The sequence below is a fragment of the Homo sapiens genome, chromosome 1 (assembly GCF_000001405.40).
Source record: "Homo sapiens chromosome 1, GRCh38.p14 Primary Assembly".
Lineage (NCBI taxonomy): Eukaryota > Metazoa > Chordata > Mammalia > Primates > Hominidae > Homo > Homo sapiens.
In genome coordinates, this window is record NC_000001.11 from 48,461,909 (window position 1) to 48,483,997 (window position 22,089).

Here is a 22,089-nt window from a genome sequence, read left to right on the forward strand (position 1 = left end):
GCACTATTCACAATAGCACAGACTTGGAACCAACCCAAATGTCCAACAGTGACAGACTGGATTAAGAAAATGTGGCACATATACACCGTGGCATACTATGCAGCCATAAAAAATGATGAGTTCATGTCCTTTGTAGGGACATGGATGAAATTGGAAATCATCATTCTCAGTAAACTATCGCAAGGACAAAAAACCAAACACCGCATGTTCTCACTCATAGATGGGAATTGAACAATGAGAACACATGGACACAGGAAGGGGAACATCACACTCTGGGGACTGTTGTGGGGTGGGGGGAGCGGGGAGGGATAGCATTAGGAGACATACCTAATGCTAAATGACGAGTTAATGGGTGCAGCACACCAGCATGGCACATGTATACATATGTAACAAACCGGCCCATTGTGCACATGTACCCTAAAACTTAAAGTACAATAATAACAAAAAATAAAAAATAATATGATAGCTAAGAATTTTCAAGAACTACAGAAAACCTTAAATTCTGAAGTGGAAAGCATACACCCAGTGCAAAACAGAATAAACAAATAAATCCACAGCTCTATACATCACAGTGTACTGAAATACATCAAGGATAAAGTGAAAATACATAATCATAGTGAAGATTTTAATACCTCTCCATTACAAATGGGTAGATCATGCAGACAAAAAATTTAATATGGAATTGAATTTCAGAGTAAGTAAGATTGGTGTGATAATGACAGATAGAGCCATACATCCAACAAATGAGATTATATATTATTTTAAGCAAGTAGAGAGCATTTACAACAATTGGATAAGTATCAGGACACAAAGGAAATAACAAACATAATAACATAGAGACCTTGTTCACTAGCTATGATGGTTAATTTTATGTATCTACTTCACTGGGTTAAGGGATACGTGAGTAGCTGGTAAACATTATTTCTTGGTGTGTCTGTGAGGATGTTTCCATAAGAGATTAGTATTTGAATCAGCAGATTGAGTAACAAAGACCACCCTCACCAATGTGGGCAGGGATTATACCATCTGTTGAGTGCAAGGATAGAACAAAAGGTCAGATTAAGGGCAAATGTGCTCTCTCTCCTTGAGCTCGGACATCCATCTTTTCCTGCCCTGGGATAACAGAACTGCAGGTTCTCAACCCCTCAGACTCCAAGACTTACACCTGGTTCTCAGGCCTTTGTACTCAGATTGAATTACATCACCAAGCTTCCCTGGTTCTGCAGCTTGCAGACAGCTTGCAGGCAGCATATCATGGGACTGCAAAGCCGTCATCAAGTGAGCCAATCCCCATAATAAATTCCCTATTAAATAACTATATAGTATATCCTATTGGTTCTGTTTTTCTGGAGAACCCTAATACATGACCCCAATGCAATTCATTAAAATACCACAATAAAAGATAATATATATGTATATGTGTAGGTATGTATGTGTATAGGTAGGGGGGAGAGTATGAGTATGGGAGAGTGTTACACACACGTAAATCTTATGCATCTTGGAATTAAAACAAATCCTAGATAGTTCATAAGCTAAAGTAGAAATCATAATAAAAATTATAAAATATTTAGAGCCAAATGATTTTAAAACATTATCAATAGCTTTGAGATGCCAGTTAAACAGCAACTGGAAGCAAATCAAGTGCCTTAAAGGCAGATATTACAATGAGAAAAAATATTGCAAATTGCAGAGAAGTGGTAAATACAAAATTCAGGATACCGATTGGCCAAAAAGAAGAAGGAAAAAGGGATTTTATTAGGCAGAGATTTACAGGATGCTTCACCTGGATGGGTACACAGGTGTTCATTAAATGTTACTCTATAACTTCCTATATGTCTGAAATATTTCAAAATAAATGTTTTAAAAATAAGTGAAAAAAAGTAGTTGACTCATAAAGCTAAAATCTCTCTACAAATACAAATAAAAGATCCTAAATAAAAAATTAGCCAACCAAATCCAGCAAAATAGAGTAAAAACTGTACATCCTGACTTAAAAGAACTTATTACAGGAATAGGAATAGTTCAACATCAAAAAGTGTCATTTTTTTACAGACTATGAAAGCATTATTATATAATAATTTCACTGGATTAAAAAAAAACATCCCAAATAACTCAACATTCAGGATTTTTTAAAATTAGAATAGAAGGGAACTGCACTAACTCAATAAATGAAAACCCTACAGCCAATATTCTATTAGGTTCAACTACATTTGAAATGGCTGAGGTTTTTTTAAGCCAAAAAAATGGCCCATTATCAGCGATTTCATAGGATTTGGTCTAATGATGGTGAGACTTCAGAAGCATAATTTAAAATTAGAAAAAACGACAAAGATACCTACTTTGTTATCCCTAACATTAAACACTATACTAGAAATTCTAGCCATCAACATAAAGACAAGGCAAACAAAACAAAACAAAACAAAACAAAGGATTGTACTGCAAAAGTCAAAACTGTCTATTTTCAAACAACGTCATTTTCCACATAAAAAATACAACTATTGAAATAATGTTATTTCATGTTATTTAATGTTGCATCCAAAATTAAAATATAAAATGTGCAACAAAGATATATACAAGAATGCTCATAGGAGCACAATTTGTAATATCCCCAAACTAGAAACAATGAGAATGTCCATCAACAATAGGAAGAATAAATAGTGTTATATTCATTTAAGAAGGGAAAAAAGGGCTATTGCCTCATAAACCACAAGGATAAACTCCCACAAATTGGTTAGACATAAAAGAATTCAGACCATACAAAATAGACAGATCATAGATAGATATAGCTAGATTTCAAAACTTCAAAATATATTGTAAGAGAAGTCAAGATGTGGTTACCTTTGGGAGAGGAACAGGGGTAGGTGAAGTGGCGGGAGGGAGACAGCCCAATGGAGCAATCTGGGGTTCTGATAATATTCTAATTATTGGTGATTATACATTTACGATTTGTGTACTTTATGAATATATGCTATAGTTCCATAAAAAACTTAATTTAAAAAATCAATAACGCAATAAATATATACAAGTTTGTCAAGTAAAATAATCATTTTAAAAATCAATAGCATTCTTTGTTTACCAGAAACGAAAAAATTAGAAAATGAAAAACATGCAGTACTAAAAAGAGCAAAAACAAAGTAAAATATAAACTTCAACTAGACGATCTTTGAAAATTCCATTACACATAACCAATAAAGGTTTAGTATCCAAAATATATTTAACAAGAAGAAGAAAACAAGAATACACTTTTAAAGGACAAAGGATATTGGTAGTCACAGAAAAGGAAACCTCTAGGATCCAAGATTGGAGTTAAGCAGCCACAATCCAAGGAATGCCTGGAACCATCAAAAACTAGAAGAGGCAGGAAAGATTCTCCCCTAAAGCTTTTGAAAGGAGCACCGTTCTGCTGACACTTTTATTTTGTACTCTGGCCTCCAGAAATGTGAGGGAATAAATTTCTGTTGTTTTAAGCAACTACGTTTGTGATAATTTGTTATGACAGTCCTAGGAAACTAACCGGATACCCTGAGACTCAATAGTTCCATTTCTAGATCTACTCCCTAGAGCACTGGGTCACCATTCTATAAGACCCAAAATCATCCTTTTACAGAAAATATTTTCAACTTACCTATACATATAACTAAACAATAAACCAATATCCTAATTAAAGTTTGAAAAAATACAGAAATACTTTATAAGAAAATACATATTTCTAACATGTAAATGCTTGGGCAAGACTACACTGGAAGATATATTTGCACCTATACACAGAATCTATGTGAAATGGGCAGTTTCAAACGTGAGATGATAAACATCCCACACTAGCAACTCAAACACCACAAGCAGCATTGCCTCTGGTGCCATGATTTTCCAAAAAAAGTAAACTCTTAGCAGAGCACCAAACCCAACAAAGTGTACTCTTTCCTCAATTTACATGGCAATTGCATTACTGTAAAATGCGTTTTAAAAACCTTTTAAAAAGACTTTGTGTTTATAAATAAACAGATAATTGATTATCAACTGCTATTATGTTATTAACCTCCAGTAATTATAAACAGGTTTTTCATCTACATATTCAATGAGACATTCAAGTCATGCAGGATACCGAACAATTAATACCACAGGACTCCCCAACCACTGTGACAAACAAAAGTAGTCTAGTCAATTTGTAAAATGCTCCCTAGGGCACACAATACACCCCTGAGAACAACAGACACAATGATACTAGGAAATATGTGCAAATATATTCATTGAAACATTGTTTTGAATAATAAAAAGCATTAACTACTAGTATTTAATAAAAAGTCCATTAAGAGAGGAACAAAAATTATATCACTGTTAATATAAACATATACCATTTTATACTAATGAAGGAAATGAACTAGACCTGCAAGAATCAACACTGAAAAATCTCAAAAACAGTGAATCAGAAAAAGCAGGTTGCAGAAGGATACATACAAGTAAGATACTATTTGTGCAAAATTTAAAAACAAAACTACAGCATAGGTTATACACAGACATACACAAATACTTAGTAATAAGTACAAAAATCTGAACAAACAATACACTACAACTTCAGGATATTAGTTATTTTAAGGAAGGTAGGGAGGAAAAAGTGGTCAGGAAGAGGTAAAAGGTACAGAGGAGGCCTCACCTACATGCAACATTATATTTCTTAAAAACAAAAATCTGCAGCAAACATGTAAAATTTATCATTTGTTAAATGGGGGGTGGGGCATCAAAGGATTCAGTTTTTTTTTTCTATAAATTTGAACTATTTTATAGTTAAAATTTTTTAAAGTCTATATTCCAGCGAAATTTACCACCAACTGTGGCTTAACTGTGACTGAGACACTACCTACAGTAACCTGGATAAGGATCACAAAGATAAATATTCAGATGAGTAGTGACTGAAAGAAGCCAGATCTGTCTGCCACAGTGCTATCATTAGTTTCAGTTAGGTAATGAGATGAAGTGAGAATTACATGCAATCCCAAATTGACACTATTACTTTACCTCCAATATCTTCCATTTTCCCAAATAAGCTCATAAAAATTGAAATATTAAATATAAAAAGAAGGTAAAGAGATAAAGCAGCAATAATACTTCTTCCCATCAAAGACAAAAGTTTTAAAGATTTAAAATGTAAGTGATGGAAAATATAATTCTTTTGATGCTCTTTAAAAACAAGTTACTTAGCATACTATGTCATTCTCCAAAGACTCATTGAGAAAAGTCACTTTCCTCTTAGCAATATATTTTCTCTCATGTCATATGGCTCTGTTGGGCAACATAAAATGTTGTGTGACACATCCAAACCTTTCTATGTTTTTACTTTCATATTACTAAAGTATTACACAGATGAGATTACCACTAACACAAAACTTCAGCAAAAAGTAAGCATGGAAGGGGTAGAGAAGAATGAGATTGCAACTTTCAACAGGCAATCAAAGATAACACCTAGTTTCCAGTTTATAGTAATTGGGAAAAAACTGAATGTCACCACAAAAAGAAGAAAAAATCAGGCAATAATACAACATGAACTATTCTGTAACCGAGCCAAGTATGTTCAAAAGGTAATGTCCACAAAAAGATTTTTACAAGAATGAATATTCATAATAGTATTATCCAATAATAACCATAACCTGGCAACAACCCAAACAACCATCAACAAGAGAATGGATAGCATCAGAGTAAAAAGCTTCTACACAGCAAAGGAAACCACTAACAGTAAACATACAGAATGGAGAAAATCTGATAAGCGGTTAATATCCAAAATATGTAAGGACCCAAACTCAATAGCAAGAAAACAAAAAACCTAATTTTAAAAATGGGCAAGAGGTCTGACTAGATATCTCAAATGGCCAACAGGTGTATGAAAAGGTGCTTACCATCTCTAATCATCAGGGAAATGCAAATCAAAAATATAATAAGATATGCCCTCGCACATGTTAGAACGACTACTATAATAAATTCAAAAAATTGTAAGTGTTGGAAAGAATGTGGAGAAAGGGGAACCCTTGTACACCGTTGGTAGAAATGTAAATTAGAAGAGCCATTACAAAAAGCATATTTCCTCAAATAATTTAAAAAAAGAAAAATTTCCTCAAATAATTAAAAAATAGAACTACCATATAATCCAGCAATCTCACTTCTGGGTATGTATCCAAAGGAAATTAGTATATGGAAGAGATCTGCACTCTCATATTCATTGCTGCATTATTCACCATACTCATGATATGGAAGCAACCTAAGTGTCCATCAACGAATGAATGGATAAAGAAAATGTGGTAGGTGTGTGTGTGAGGGGGTGTGTGTGTACACTATTCCGATTTCTATCACTATGGATTACTTTGCCAGTACTTAAACTTCACATTGGAGCCACATAGTATGTGATATTTAGTATCTGACTTCTTTTGCTCAGCATGTTCTTGAGATTCATCCATGTTGTTGGTTCTATCAGTAGTACCTTTGAATTGTGGAGTAGTATTCTATTGTATGTGTATACTACAATATATTTATCCATTCTTTTTTGTCAAAACTTACATATATTTACACTGTACAAAGTGATGTTTTGCTACAGGTATGTACACTGTGAAATGATTAATTCAAGCTAATTAACATTTCCATCATCTCCTATACTTATTTCTCTCTGGAAAGCAGTTCTGTCTGGAATGGACCTGAAAGGGGAACAAGGGAATTGCGAGGGGTGATGGAAGTGTTCCAAATCTTGATCTGGGTGATGGTGACATGAGTGTATGAATTGACCAAAACCAACTGAGGAAAAAAAAGGAACATTGTGGGAATAAAAAAAAAATAGAACTGCTCTATATTAAAATGAACTACAAAGACCTATCAATCAAATGATTAAAGGTAATATATAAACCTTGACTGGATCCCGGTTTGAAAAAGTTAACTATGGAACTCATGTTTGGGACAACCAGAAAAACTTGAATATGAACTAAATATTAAGAATTTCTCACCAATTATCTTAGGTGTAATAATGGTGTTGGGGTTATACAGAACAATCTCCTTATTTTTTAATTTTATTTACGTATGTATTTATTTAAGAGACAGGGTCTCACTGTGTTGCCCAGGCTGGAGTGCAGGGCTACTCACAGGTGTGCTCACAGCATACTACAGCTTCAAACTCCTGGGCTCAGGTAATCCTCCTGCCTCAGTCCCCTGAGTAGCTGGAACTACAGGTGCCTGTCATCATACCCAGCTAATATCCTTATTTTTAGAAGACACATGCTGAAGTACTTACAGGTGGAGTATCATTATGTCAATTTATTTTCAATTTTTAGCAAAAAAATAAAAAATTTATACATAAACATACACATACATATAGACAAATCAAATTAATGTACATGGTCATGGGTTACAGTTATTCATTGAACTATTCTTCTAAGTACTCTGTATGTTTGAAAAATTTCATTTAAAAAGTTGGGGAGAAAGATGCCAGTTTTAATAGATACAGAGTGATCTCCAGGACATACTGAACGAAGAAAAGCAAAGGTACAGAATAGTTTATACGCTACCTATTTCATAAAAACAAATATCTATTTATATATATATATATATATATATATATGTTGTGTGGTATGTGAGAGAGAGTTTGTGTATCTGTTTATATCAAAACCAGTGAAAATGGTTAAAGCAGATGAGTATAGGTGGGAAATAGTTTTGAGCCTGGAAGCAACACTTCTCTGAGTATATCATGTTATAGTCTTGAACTTGAACCATGTAAATGTAAAAAGGAAATAGACAAGAAAGGAACTAAAATCAAAATGAAGATGTTAAAAATATCTAGGGTCATATAACCTTTCTATTCAATCAAAGCCAAATTAATCAATCAATCAAACATGTTTAACTTTTACGTCTGCTAGTGGGGTTTTTTTTGTGGGGGGGGCGGTCAGGGGCGTTGTTTGTTTGCTCCTTCTGAGCATCAGAGCCATTTTAAAAGGCTTTTGTTGTTCAAAAATTCGGGAACATTTTGCACATCTGCTTCTAAACAGTTGTGCAATCCTAGATAAATAATAGCCATGCTGAGCATCGATTTTCTTGGCTGTAAAAAGGGATTGAATCCAATGATTTCCATCTAAGATGTCTCGGAACTATAAAATTCTGTGACTTAAATGTTTGTTGGGGAAAAATATTATTTCCACCATCATAGTTTTCTTTAGCTCTGATAAGTAACAAAGCTCCGTTATACAGTGAATTACACAGTCATTCACTTTTCTGCAATACAACTAATACTCAGGAGAAATGTAGCTATTCCTCCGACTCCTTCAAGCAGTAATCAGTTACAACAGAGTACTTCCTCTTAGAAAGTTTGTATTGGCAACGTTAGGGAAGCTGCAGCCAGCCAGTCAGGCAGCTGCGCTCACCAGACTGCTAAACACCATTAGTTGGCAGGAGGAGGAAGAAGCCAGTAACAAAATCTATTAAGGCTGAACTCTGAAGGAGTTTCACTAACTTGTGTCCTGGGCCAAGGGATCGAGAAAGTTTCGTGCATTCTTCTTGCTAAACTAATTTTACTTTACAAAAAGTTGTCAAAAATGGCAGCTTTGGGAGGAAAACAAGCAAAGCTAGGGCTATGGAGTTTCCGAGAAAAATCTCTGCAGGCTTGAAGATAAAGGGAGAGTCCAAGAAAATTTCTACTTCACCACCACTGCCTCACACTCTGCCCCACGCACACTTGCCTTCTTTAAGACCTAACAAAAGACCTAAAACAGTCCTGTGATTTTCCTAGGGGTTTAAGTTCTGTGCTGCAGCAACCTCATTCTAACGTGACGAAGGCCAGCCAGGAAAGGCGGGAAGCTGCAAGCACGGGTTAAGTGGAGCCTGGCCAGTAGGGTGTACAGGAAGGAAATGCAGAGGGCTCCTGGCTGCAGCACCCAGGAGAGTAATGGTAATATTTCAGCACTCTCAACCCCCAAGTTTTCCTAGGAGATCAAACAGAAGGCAATATACATAAGAAGACTTACTGAGTAAGAAGGAGCGAAGAGACCGAATGGTGAATTTTGGTTCCAAACTCCGTACAGGTCTGTGCCTGCAGGACTAAAACGGGGTGTGGAAAGGGTCTTGTGGAGATTTCCTCCAGAACAGACAAGCGGGAGTATTCCTCTAAACAGGGGAATGAGAGGGTTCTCTAAAGAATGCAGGGGAAGAAGTTCAAAACCCTTGGAAGTCTTCTGAGATCAACAAGGGGAATAGAGTTTTCTCCTAGCATGGAGAGGTCCAGCCCCTTCACTGGATGAGTGGGGTTCTCTGCCCCAGCTGGACTTCCACAGGAGGATGGAGGAAAGCATCCTCTTGAGCAAGTCTGGAGAGTGAAGGGGTGGGGTTGCAAGGTTGGAGAAGGAGGTGTTTCCCTCATAAAAATGACTGGGCCTTTCTTGCAATGGCTGGCACAAAGTCGGAAGGGTCTGGGGACGGGAGGGGCCTGAAGTGATTTCTGAGGAGTTGGGTTTTTCCTGTAAGGCCCTGGGAGGGAAGGCAAGGTACTTTGCGCAATGACACATTTCAGTTGTTGGATGTGAAGATTCTCCTTCGAAGACAGAATAAAGAAAGGCCCCTTCATTAATGCGGGTTTGAAACTGGTCTGAAATGGTGTGCCTGCAGGGATTCGGGAGGAAATGCGACGCCCACCCCCAGACTTGGGAAAGGCGGGGGCAATAATTCTCTAAGAGAACTGGAGCCCGAAAGAGGAATGAAAAGCCCCCGCGCCGCGCACATACACTCTCTCTCACTGGAAAGTTAGGAGCGAGGAAAGAACTCTGAAGTGATTTGGGAACGATCTGAAAGCGCGCAAGTTGGAAGTCGGGTTGAAGCCAGCATAGCGGAGCAGGGGTCAGGCCTCTGCGTGGCCGGAGTGGGAGAGCGCTTCTGAGAACAAGATGGGGCAGGACCGAAGGGGCGTGAGGTCGACGCTCCCTAGGGATGATTCGGAGGGTGAAGGAGGTTTGGGGGTGGTTCCGGGCTCTCGGAGGTGACTGAGGGAGTCCCTGAGCCAATGCCCGGGGGTGGGAGGCGCTACCGGTACTCACTGAGCTGATCTCCAGCGCCAGGGCGCACTGCAGCGCCTTCACCTTCGGCATCCGTGCGGGGAGGGGCGGCGGGGAGTGACCCCGGCCACGGGCCCGAGTGAGGCGGGGAGACCTGGGGCTGGGCGGGGACGGGGAGGAGACGAGGTGGCGGCGGCGGTGGCAGCAGTGGCCCCCAGGCCGGGGCCCGCGGTCCAGCCTGGGTTCCGCCGGAGAAGCAGCTGAGCGCGGGGCGCAGACTCGTTGTCATGGCAGCCAGGAGGGGCGGGGCCGGAAGAGAGGCCGCGCGGGGCACTCCAGGGCTACCCGCGCTGGGACGAGCGCTGGAGGCGGAGCTTGACGAACGCCGAGCGAGGCGGAGTCGGGCAGGGGGCGGGGCTTCCGAAGGGGCGGGGTGAGGCAAGGCAGCTCTTCTGTGACGTCAAACTGCGCCCAAAGCCGGACGAAAGGGAGCTGCTGTTTGTATAATGGGACGGTGCTCTGTTCAGGGAGTTGGAGTTCCTGTAAGGCCGTCGGAGGGAACCCCTGAGTTACAACGTGGTGATGGCACCTTGGGCTAGTGGCGACCCACTGTGGCCTCAGTTTTCCCAATTGTAAAAGAATAATAATTATTGTTAGTCCTCCTATTTAAATTTCACGGCACGGTTTACAAAGCCAGCATAAGGATACTGGGAATTAGGGAAGAGACTTGCCCAAATCAAAGTCGGAACCAGGACTGGAACCCAGGAGCTCTCAAGTTAAACCCCAGTTGCCTCCCTGAGGAGAGGGGCTTGCATCAGATGGTCCATACTCCTAGTCTCCTATTCTGTGATTCCCTTTGTTAGCGCGTTCCCTTTTCCCTTCAAATTTTCCTGTCTAATTCACCCATGTATGCGTCTTAATGCATATTGCTTAAGTGGAACTGTCAATGAGGTGCCAACAATAAGTCCAGCTGTGAAGGGCCTGACAATAGACCATCAAAGATAAAAAGAACCTAAGAGATTGCCCAATCCAATCATGTTAAAAATCATTTGTATTGCAAAATACATTATACATGCAGAAGTGTATAAAACACGTTTATCTTAATAATAATGTGAACAGTACCTGTACAACTAGCACCCGGTTAAGAAATAAAACATTACCAGCACCTGAAAAATGCCCCCAACGATTACATTGCCTTTCTCGCCCTGGAGTAACCACTACCCTGACTTTTGTACAATAATTCTCTTCCTTTTGCCATTCATGTATGCATTTCTAAACAAGATATTGTTTAATGTTTTCCGGTATTGATAGTATATAAATGGTATTAATACTGTATGTATTCTTCTGTGATTTGCTTCTCCCACTTAATATTATGCCACCGGTGATGCTGTGTAGCTGAAGTTTTTTCCATTGCTGGACAGTATTCCAATATAGATTGATTTATCCTTCCTACTATCAATGATCACTTACACTGTTTTCATTTTTAGCTATTATTAACAATGTTGTGAACATTGTAGTACAAGTCTGTGTCTATTAATGCACATGTACTAGCGTAGGAGTGGGTTAGCTGGGTATTAGGGTTTTGCACATGTGGGTCTTTAAAAAGTAAGACCACACCATTTTCCAAAGTAGTGTACCTATTTATGTTTCTGGTGCTTATGTATAAGAGTTCTTATTTTTCCACATCATCAGCAACATTTGTGTTTGGATTTTTAACTTTTGTATATTTGGATGTGTGTATTTTAGGTATTTCATTGTGGTTTTATCTTGAATCTCTGGGTACTGTTGAGGTTGAGTACCTTTGGTTTTGTTAGCCTTTCCATTATCTCTTATTGAACTGCCAAGTAGTTATCTTGCCCCCTTTTCTGTTGGTCTCTCTCTCAGTTCTTTATATACTCTGGATAATAATTATATGTCTACTCTATATGTTGCAAATATCCTTTCCACTTTGTGTTTGTATTTTAATTTTACATATAGTCTGTGATGAACAGAAGATAAATTGTTGTCATGGAGTATGAGTATTCTCAGTTTGACCATATAATTCCAAGTTGCTATCCAGAATGCCATACCAGTCTATGCTCCCAATATTCGAAGGTTACTATGGCCCCACATTCTTCCCAGGCTTGGCATTATCAAGGGTTCTTGTTTTCCCCCAACATAACAGATGTAAAGTGTTATCTCACTATTGAATTTTTCAGATTACTGATGAGTCTGAGCATGTCTGTATATGCTTATAAGATTTTCTATCTTTACTAAAAATCATCTGCTCATAATGCTTTACCCCATATTCTATCAGGATTTTTGTCTTTTTTTTAGGAATTTTGTGTATTCTGGTTAGTTAATAAATTAATTCTAAGACACTACAAAAATCTTCTCTCTTTATGGTATTTTTATGAACTTTGCCCAGGATTTTGTTTTGTTTTGGGGTTTTTTGGGTGTTTTTTGTTTTGTTTTGTTTTTGACAGGGTTTTACCCGTCACCCAGGCTCTGGAGTGCACTAGCACAATCTCGGCCCACAGCAACCTCTGCTTACCCAGTGATATGGTTTGGCTGTGTCCCCACCCAAATCTCATCTTGAATTGTACTCCCATAATTCCCATGTGTTGTGGGAGGGACCTGGTGGGAAATAATTTGAGTCTTGGGGGTGGTTTCCCCCATACTGTTCTCATGGTAGTGAATAAGTCTCACAAGATCTGATGGTTTTATCAGGGGTTTCCGCTTTTGTATCTTCTTGTTTTCTCTTTCTGCCACATGTAAGAAGTGCCTTTTGCCTCCTGGCATGATTCCGAGGCCTCCCCTCCCTGTGGAACTGCAAGTCCAATTAAACCTTTTTTCCTTTCCAGTCTTGGGTGTGTCTTTATCAGCAACATGAAAATGAGCTAATACAGTAAATTGGTATCAGTAGAGTGGGTGTTGCTGAAAAGATATCCGAAAATGTGGAAGCGACTTTGGAACTGGGTAACAGGGAGAGGTTGGAACAATTTGGAGGGCTCAGAAGACAGGAAAATGTGGGAAACTTTGGAACTTCCTAGGGACTTGTTGAATGGCTTTGGCCAAAAGCCTGATAGCCACATGGACAATAAGGTCCAGGCTGAAGTGGTCTTAGGTGGAGATGAGGAACTTATTGGCAACTGAAGCAAAAGTGACTCTTGTTATGTTTTAGCAAAGAGACTGGGGGCATTTGGCCCCTGCCCTAGACATTTGTGGAACTTTGAACTTGAGAGAGGTGATTTAGGGTATCTGGCAGAAAAAAATTCTAAGCAACAAATCATTCAAGATGTGACTTGGGTGCTGTTAAAGGCATTCAGTATTATAAGGGAAGAATAGCATAAAAGTTTGGAAAATTTGCAGCCTGATAATGCGATAGAAATGGAAAACCCATTTTCTGAGGAGAAATTCAAGTTGGCTGCAGAAATTTGCACAAGTAATGGGGAGCCAAATGTTAATCCCCCAGACCATGGAAAAAATGTCTCCAGGCCATGTCAGAGGGCTTCACGGCAGCCTCTCCCATCACAGGCCCCGAGGCCTAGGAGAAAATGGTGTCATGCGCTAGGCCCAGGGTCCCCATGCTGTGTGCAGCCTAGGGACTTGGTGCCCTGCGTCCCAGCTGCTCCAGCCATGGCTGTAAGGGGCCAACATAGAGATAGGGCTGTGGCTTCAGGGGATGCAATCCCCAAGCCTTGGCAGCTTCCACATGGTGTTGAGCCTGCAAGTACACAGAGTCAAGAACTGGGGTTTAGGAACCTCCACCTAGATTTCAGAAGACATGTGGAAACACTTGGATGCCCAGGCAGAAGTTTGTTGCAGGAGTGGGGCCCTCATGGAGAACCTGTGCAAGGGCAGTGAAGAAGGGAAATGTGGGGTTGGGAGCCCCCATACAGTGTCCCTACTGGGGCACCACCTAGTGGAGCTGTGAGAAGAGGGCCACTGTTCTCCAGACCCCAGAATGGTAGATCCACCAACAGCTTGCACAATTCACCTGGAAAAGCCACAGACACTCAATACCAGCCTGTGAAAGCAGCTGGGAGGGAGGCTGTACCCTGCAAAGCCACAGGGGTAGAGCTTCCCAAGACCATGGGAACACACGTCTTGCATCAGCGTGACCTGGATGTGAGACCTTGGAGTCAAAGGAGATCATTTTGAAGCTGTAAGATTTGACAGCCTCGCTGGACATTGGACTTGCATGGGCCCTGTAACTCCTATGTTTTGGCCAATTTCCCTCATTTGGAATGACTGTATTTACCCAATACCTGTACCCAAATCATATCCAGGAAGTAAATAGCTTGCTTTTGATTTTACTGGCTCATAGGCAAAAGGGACTTGCCTTGTCTCAGTGTGGACTTTTGGGTTAATGCTGAAATGAGTTAAGACTTTGGGGGACTGTTGGGAAGGCATGATTGGTTTTGAAATGTGAGGACATGAGATTTGAAGGGGCCAGGGAAAGAATGATATGGTTTGGCTGCGTCCCCACTCAAATCTCATCTTGAATTGTACTCCCATAATTCCCACATGTTATGGGAGGGACCCAGTGGGAGATAATTTGAATGATGGGGGCTGTTTCCCCCATACTGTTCTTGTGGTAGTGAATAAGTCTCATGAGATCTGATAGTTTTATTAGAGGTTTCTGCTTTTGCATCTTCCTCATTTTCTCTTGCCGCTGCCAAGTAAGAAGTGCCTTTTGATGAGTTCATGTCCTCTGCAGTGACATGGATGAAGCTGGAAACCATCATTCTCAGCAAACTAACACAAGAACGGAAAACCAAACACCGCATGTTGTCACTCATAAGTGGGAGCTGAACAATGAGAACACATGGACACAGGGAGGGGAACATCACACACCGGGGCCTGTCGGGGGGTGGGGGGCTAGGGGAGGGATAGCATTAGGAGAAATACCTAATGTACCTGATGGGTTGATGGGTGCAGCAAACCACCATGGCATGTGTATACTAGCTATGTAACAAGACTGCACGTTCTACACATGTATCCCAGAACTTAAAGTATAAAATAAAAAAAAGAAAAAGTTCCTTTTGCCTCTGCCATGATTCTGAGGCCTCCCCAGCCACGTGGAATTCTGAGGCCTCCACAGCCATGTGGAATTGTAAGTCCAAGTAAACCTCTTTTTCTTCCCAGTCTCAGGTATGTCTTTATCAGTAGCATGAAAATGGACTAATACACCCTAGCTCAAATGATAATCCTGCCTCAACCTTCCAAGTAGCTGGGACTACAAACGTGCACCATAGCGCCTGGCTAATTTCTGCATTTTTTGTAGAGATGAGGCTTCACCATGTTGTCCAAGCTGGTCTCAAACTCCTGGGCTCAAGGGAACCACCCACCTCGGCCTCCCAAAGTGGTGGGATTACAGGCGTGAACCACTGCACCCGGCCATTAGGGTGTACTTTCGTTCATAGAAGTAACCTAACTTCGATGTAAATCAATCATTTTTGCCTTATATTTGTGTTGTGTTTTTAACATTTTAGTAAGTCTTCCCAAAATTAGCTGGGTATGGTGGCTCATGCCTGTGGTCCCAGCTACTTGGGAGGCTAAGGTAGGATTGCTTGAGCCCAGGAGGTGGGGTCTGCAGTGAGCGATGTTTGTGCCACTGCACTGCAGCTTGGGTAACAGAACCCTGTCTCAAAATAAACAAACAAATGAACAGTTTTCCTAGTCCCCAGATTCAAACATACTGTATTTTCTGTTTTCTTATATTAACTTTATAGTTTACCTTTCACATTTTGATGTTTAATCTATTAAGACTCAATTTTTGTACATGACGTTAAACAGTAATCCAGGATTCACTTTCTTGTTGTTGTTGTTTTCCCCTTTAAAAATGTATGCTAGATTTTCCAACAATACCTACTAAACATTCTATGCTTCCCCTCATTGATTTGTGGTGCTACCTTTCTTATGTATTAACTACCAAAGTTCTGATTTCAACCTTGCTCTTCTGTTCCAGTCTTCTATTTGTCTATTCTTGCAACAGTACCACACTGCTTCTATTTATTACTATGGCTTCTGTTTGGCAAGTCTCCTTTTTTAGGAGATAGATTTAGCTATTTGTGATCCTTCATTGCTTCTTTTTATTTTAGAGTAATTTTATCAAGTTCCTCAAATAGTCCAGCTGGAATTTTGACAATGATACATTAAACTTATAGATTAATTCAGGGAATTGACATCTTTGTAATATTATGTCATCCCACCCAAGTGCATGGAATATATCTCTTTTTTTTTTTTTTTTTTTTTTGAGATGGAGTCTCACTCTGTTGCCCAGGCTGGAGTCAGTGTGGCACAATCTTGGCTCACTGCAACCTCTGCCTCCTGGATTCAAGCAATTCTCCTGCCTCAGCCTCCCGAGTAGCTGGGACTACAGGCGCCCACCACCATGCCCGGCTAATTTTTGTATTTTTAATAGAGGCGGGATTTCACCATATTGGCCAGGCTGGTCTCGAACTCCTGACCTCATGATCTGTCCACCTCGGCCTCCCAAAGTGCTGGGATTACAGGCATGAGCCATCGTGCCCAGCTGGACTGTATCTCTATCAGACATAGTCTATGTCCTTCAAGTTTTGTCCATAGAGATCTTATGTAATTCCTAGGTATTTAACTATAGTTTTTTCTTTATAATATTGAGAATAGTTTCTTAAGTTTTAATTATTTTTACTAGTTTGTTATTGCAACTATACAGAAATTTTGTCTTTATAAGTTAATCCTGGCAAATCTGTTAAAGCCTTGCTGATTGAAATAGTTTCTCTGGCCCCTTTCCCTTCTCCCTTCTCCCTTCTCCCTTCTCCCTGCTTCTCCCTTCTCCCTCTCCCTCTCCCCATGGCCCACAGTCTCCCTCTCCTTCTCTTTCCATGGTCTCCCTCTGATGCCCAGCCGAAGCTGGACTGTACTGCTGCCATCTCGGCTCACTGCAACCTCCCTGCCTGATTCTCCTGCCTCAGCCTGCCGCGTGCCTGCGATTACAGGTGCGCGCCGCCATGCCTGACTGGTTTTCATACTTTTTTGGTGGAGACGGGGTTTCGCTGTGTTGGCCGGGCTGGTCTCCAGCTCCTAACCGCGAGTGATCTGCCAGCCTCGGCCTCCCGAGGTGCCGCGATTGCAGACGGAGTCTGGTTCACTCAGTGCTCAATGGTGCCCAGGCTGGAGTGCAGTGGCGTGATCTCGGCTCGCTACAACCTCCACCTCCCAGCCGCCTGCCTTGGCCTCCCAAAGTGCCGAGATTGCAGCCTCTGCCCGGCCGCCACCCCGTCTGGGAAGTGAGGAGCGTCTCTGCCTGGCCGCCCATCGTCTGGGACGTGAGGAGCCCCTCTGCCTGGCTGCCCAGTCTGGAAAGTGAGGAGCGTCTCTGCCCGGCCGCCATCCCATCTAGGAAGTGAGGAGCGTCTCTGCCCGGCTGCCCACCGCCTGAGATGTGGGGAGCGCCTCTGCCCCGCCGCCCCATCTGGGATGTGAGGAGCGCCTCTGCCCGGCCGCGACCCCGTCTGGGAGGTGAGGAGCGTCTCTGCCCGGCCGCCCCATCTGAGAAGTGAGGAGACCCTCCGCCTGGCAACCGTCCTGTCTGAGAAGTGAGGAGCCCCTCCGCCCGGCAGCCACCCCGTCTGGGAAGTGAGGAGCGTCTCCGCCCGGCAGCCACCCTGTCCGGGAGGGAGGTGGGGGTCAGCCCCTGCCAGGCCAGCCGCCCCGTCCGGGAGGGAGGTGGGGGGGTCAGCCCCCCGCCCGGCCAGCCACCCCGTCCGGGAGGTGAGGGGCGCCTCTGCCCGGCCGCCCCTACTGGGAAGTGAGGAGCCCCTCTGCCCGGCCAGCCGCCCCGTCTGGGAGGTGTACCCAACAGCTCATTGAGAACGGGCCGGGACGACAATGGCGGTTTTGTGGAATAGAAAGGGGGGAAAGGTGGGGAAAAGGTTGAGAAATCGGATGGTTGCCGTGTCTGTGTAGAAAGAAGTAGTCATGGGAGACTTTTCATTTTGTTCTGTACCAAGAAAAATTCTTCTGCCTTGGGATCCTGTTGATCGGTGACCTTACCCCCAACCCTGTGCTCTCTGAAACATGTGCTGTGTCCACTCGGTTAAATGGATTAAGGGCGGTGCAAGATGTGCTTTGTTAAACAGATGCTTGAAGGCAGCATGCTCGTTAAGAATCATCACCACTCCCTAATCTCAAGTACCCAGGGACACAAACACTGCGGAAGGCCGCAGGGTCCTCTGCCTAGGAAAACCAGAGACCTTTGTTCACTTGTTTATCTGCTGACCTTCCCTCCACTATTGTCCTATGACCCTGCCAACTCCCCCTCTGCGAGAAACACCCAAGAATGATCAATAAAAAAAAAAAAGAAGAAAAGAAAAAAAAAACAAAGTGGAAAAAAAAAAAAAGAAATAGTTTCTCTGTTCCATTGTTAGTATTAATATTATTCTCACAGAGATGATAAGCACTACACTGATTTTTCATTGCTAACATAACAAATTACCATAAACTTAGTGGCTTAAACAACATAAATTTATTATCTTTTAGTTGTGTAGGTCAGAAGTCCAATATAAGTTTTGCTGGATTAACATCATGGGGTCAGTAGGGCTGGATTCCTTTCTGAATGCTCTAGGAGAAAATCCATTTTCTTGTCCTTTCCAACTTGTAAAAGCCATTAGCTTTCCTCAGCTCATAGTCCCCTTCTTCTAGCTTCAAAGTTAGCAATTCCTCATTCAGCCTTTCTCACATTACATCACTCTAACCTACTCTTCTACTTCACTCTTCCACTTTTAAGGACCCTTGTGGTTACACTGAGCCTACAAAGATAACCAGGGTAATCTCCTTATCTAAAGGTCAGCTGATTAGCCACTTTAATTCTATTGATTGCCTTAATTCTCTTTTCCATGTAAGATAACATAGTCACAGATTTCAGAAATAAGGACATGGACATCTTTGGGGGTTCATTATTCTGCCTGCCACAAATACCAAAACAAATAATAATTGTATTGCATTGAAGTACATCAAATATGTTGAAAATTCATGAGTTGGTAATGTTATTCAAAGGGAAAAAAGCATTGGTCAGATTTGGATGACTTTAAGAACCAGTTCATTCCAAAAACTGAGAAATAAAACGAATCAAGCATTTATCCTGAATATCTTGTTTGAACTCTACCTCAGGGTGACCAAAGAGCTGATGAAAGAAAGTTCTTTATAGAAAAATCCCCACTATAAATGAATAAGAATAAAGAATTAGAATATTCTTGGCTGCTAAAAACCATTACTGAAAAGCTGATGAAGAATTTCATAATAGATTAGTCTGATAGCACTCAAACACACTGATCAATCTTAATATCACAAAAAACAGTATGTCCTTTGAGATGATGCAATTAGAAGTACACAATATCACCATTCATGTCAAAAAAATCAAACTTGAATCTGATCAAGCATCCAAATCTGTCACCAACATACAGGACATATAAAATGTAAAGTAACTCGTTAGACAAAACCATAGGGATGCAAGCAGCAAAATAAACACAATAGTATTTCTTCAACAAATAAATTGCAAAGAAGACTTTATGTATTAAAAAGACTGAAGTAAACCTAATGTAAAGTGTTTATGAGACCATTGCAGATATTTGAATGCTACTGGATACATGATCTTAAGGAATTACTGTTAAATGTTTAAGTATAATAGTAATACTAGGGTCCTGTTATTTTTTTAAAGAGCTCTTTCAAAAAAAGTGGTACACATTGAAGTATTTATGGATAAAATATGATGTCTGGGATTTGCTTCAGAATACTCCAAGCGAGGTTGGAAGTGGTAGTGATGGAAAGTAGGTGAAGGTATGGATGAAACAAATTAGCCACGTAATTGTTGAAGGCTAGTGCCAAGTATGCTGGAGTTGATTTTACTATTTTTTCCTACTTTTGTTTATGTTTAATTCCATATTAACACATAAAAAGTAAATAGATATTGAACAGTGTCAAGTGCTCTTTCTATACTGATTATTGAGATAATCATATGAGCTTTCAACTTCAACCAATTTATGAAATAAATTATATCAATAGTTTTTTCTGATGATGAACCTTTCTTGTAGCCCTGTACTGTTATTTTGTGAAAATGCTTCTGTATTGTTAGTTAATATTTTATTTAGGTTTTTGCATCATATTCATAAGAGAATTGGACCTATAATTTTTTTCTTTTATTGCCCTTTCCTGATTTTGGAATCTAGATTATACCAACCTCATAAAATAAGAGCATATATAAAAGCAAATGCTCTTATCTTGCAGATCCCTGAACTGAGGAGGCAAGATCAGTTTGGCAGTTGAAGCAGCTGGAATCTGCAATTCAGAGAATCTAAGAAAAGACAACCCTGAAGAGAGAGACCCAGAAACCTAGCAGGAGTTTCTCCAAACATTCAAGGCTGAGGGATAAATGTTACATGCACAGGGTGAGCCTCCAGAGGCTTGTCCATTAGCAACTGCTACAGTTTCATTATCTCAGGGATCACAGATTGTGCTACCTATTGCCTACCATCTGAAAACAGTTGCTTCCTATATTTCATCCAGTTTAATATTTATTTAAACCAAGAAGGTTAATCTGGCACCAGCTATTCCGTTGTGAGTGGATGTGAAAGTACCAATTCCATTCTGTTTTACTATTAACTATCCTTTGCCTTAATATGTATCAGTAGGTGGCTTGTTGCTAGGAAATATTAAATGAATGGCATGTTTCATAGGTTGTGTTTAAAGTTGTTTTTTGAGTTAAATCTTTCTTTAATAATACTTTCTGATGTCAAAAACACTTAGAAGTCATGGTGTTGAACATCTATATAGGGTTGGATCTAAAATAGCTTCTTAACCTTTCCTAACCACTGTTTTTGTTTGTTTGTTTTTAACTAAGCATCCAGTTTGGGAAATTCTGAATTAGGGGAATCATAAAAGGTTTCATTTTAGCTGGGCCACATAAGGAAAGTAAGATATCAAATTGTAAAAATCGTTAAGAACTTCTATCCCATCTGAAGTGTGGGTTAGGTGCCTCTTCTCTGTGCTCCCTTAACATCCTATTTTATCTGTATATATATATATTCTTCCAAATATCCATGGGAAAAAAAATCTGATCATAAAAATATTTTAGGCTGGGAGTGGTGGCTCACGCCTGTAATCCCAGCACTTTGGGAGGCTGAGGTGGGCGGATCATGAGGTCAAGAGATCGAGACCATCCTGACCAATATGGTGAAACCCCATCTCTACTAAAGATACAAAACTATTAGCTGGACGTGGTGGCACGTGCCTGTAGTCCCAGCTACTCGGGAGGCTGAGGCAGGAGAACGGCTTGAACCCAGGAGGTGGAGGTTGCAGTGAGCTGAGATCGCGCCACTGCACTCCAGCCTGGGCGACAGAGCGAGACTCTGTCTCAAAAAAAAAATATATATATATATATATATACACATATATATATAAAATATATATATATACACACATATATATATAAAATATATATATATACACACATATATATAAAATATATATATATACACACATATATATAAAATATATATATACACACATATATATAAAATATATATATACACACATATATATAAAATATATATATACACACATATATATAAAATATATATATACACACATATATATAAAATATATATATACACACATATATATAAAATATATATATACACACATATATATAAAATATATATATACACACATATATATAAAATATATATATACACACATATATATAAAATATATATATACACACATATATATAAAATATATATATACACACATATATAAAATATATATATACACACATATATAAAATATATATATACACATATATATAAAATATATATATACACATATATATAAAATATATATACACACATATATATAAAATATATATATACACACATATATATAAAATATATATATACACATATATATAAAATATATATATACACATATATATAAAATATATATATATACACATATATATAAAATATATATACACACATATATATAAAGTATATATATACACACATATATATAAAATATATATATACACATATATATAAAATATATATATACACATATA

The 22,089-nt window shown here is 39.8% G+C and overlaps 1 protein-coding gene and 1 long non-coding RNA gene across 15 annotated transcripts in view, besides 3 other annotated features; one reads left to right on the forward strand and one right to left on the reverse strand.

Moving 5' to 3' along the window:
- Positions 1–10,296, reverse strand: part of SPATA6 (spermatogenesis associated 6) — a 210,816-nt gene extending 200,520 nt beyond the window's left edge. For all 14 annotated transcript variants that reach the window (XM_047422913.1, XM_047422901.1, XM_006710699.4 and 11 more), the window contains exon 1: positions 10,050–10,296. In XM_047422913.1, the coding sequence (XP_047278869.1) occupies positions 10,050–10,100 (51 nt within the window). In that variant the 5' untranslated portion in view covers positions 10,101–10,296. The remainder of the gene's footprint in view (positions 1–10,049) is intronic.
- On the forward strand, positions 8,462–20,704 carry LOC124904175 (uncharacterized). The gene is made up of 2 exons (XR_007066074.1): positions 8,462–9,044; positions 20,259–20,704. It is a non-coding gene; the product is annotated as an uncharacterized LOC124904175 (long non-coding RNA).
- Positions 9,978–10,367: a silencer, noted in NCBI's record as "silent region_861". NCBI's record gives its function as "represses an Ori minimal core promoter by ATAC-STARR-seq in GM12878 lymphoblastoid cells {active_cell/tissue: GM12878}" and the evidence as "EXISTENCE:reporter gene assay evidence [ECO:0000049][PMID:35858748]".
- Positions 10,578–10,627: an enhancer, noted in NCBI's record as "active region_1010". NCBI's record gives its function as "activates an Ori minimal core promoter by ATAC-STARR-seq in GM12878 lymphoblastoid cells {active_cell/tissue: GM12878}" and the evidence as "EXISTENCE:reporter gene assay evidence [ECO:0000049][PMID:35858748]".
- Positions 17,595–18,436: an enhancer, noted in NCBI's record as "NANOG-H3K27ac hESC enhancer chr1:48945175-48946016 (GRCh37/hg19 assembly coordinates)". NCBI's record gives its function as "activates a minimal SCP1, AML or CMV promoter by ChIP-STARR-seq in naive H9 embryonic stem cells {active_cell/tissue: H9 hESC(naive)}" and the evidence as "EXISTENCE:reporter gene assay evidence [ECO:0000049][PMID:30033119]".
- Positions 20,705–22,089: the final 1,385 nt, after the last annotated feature.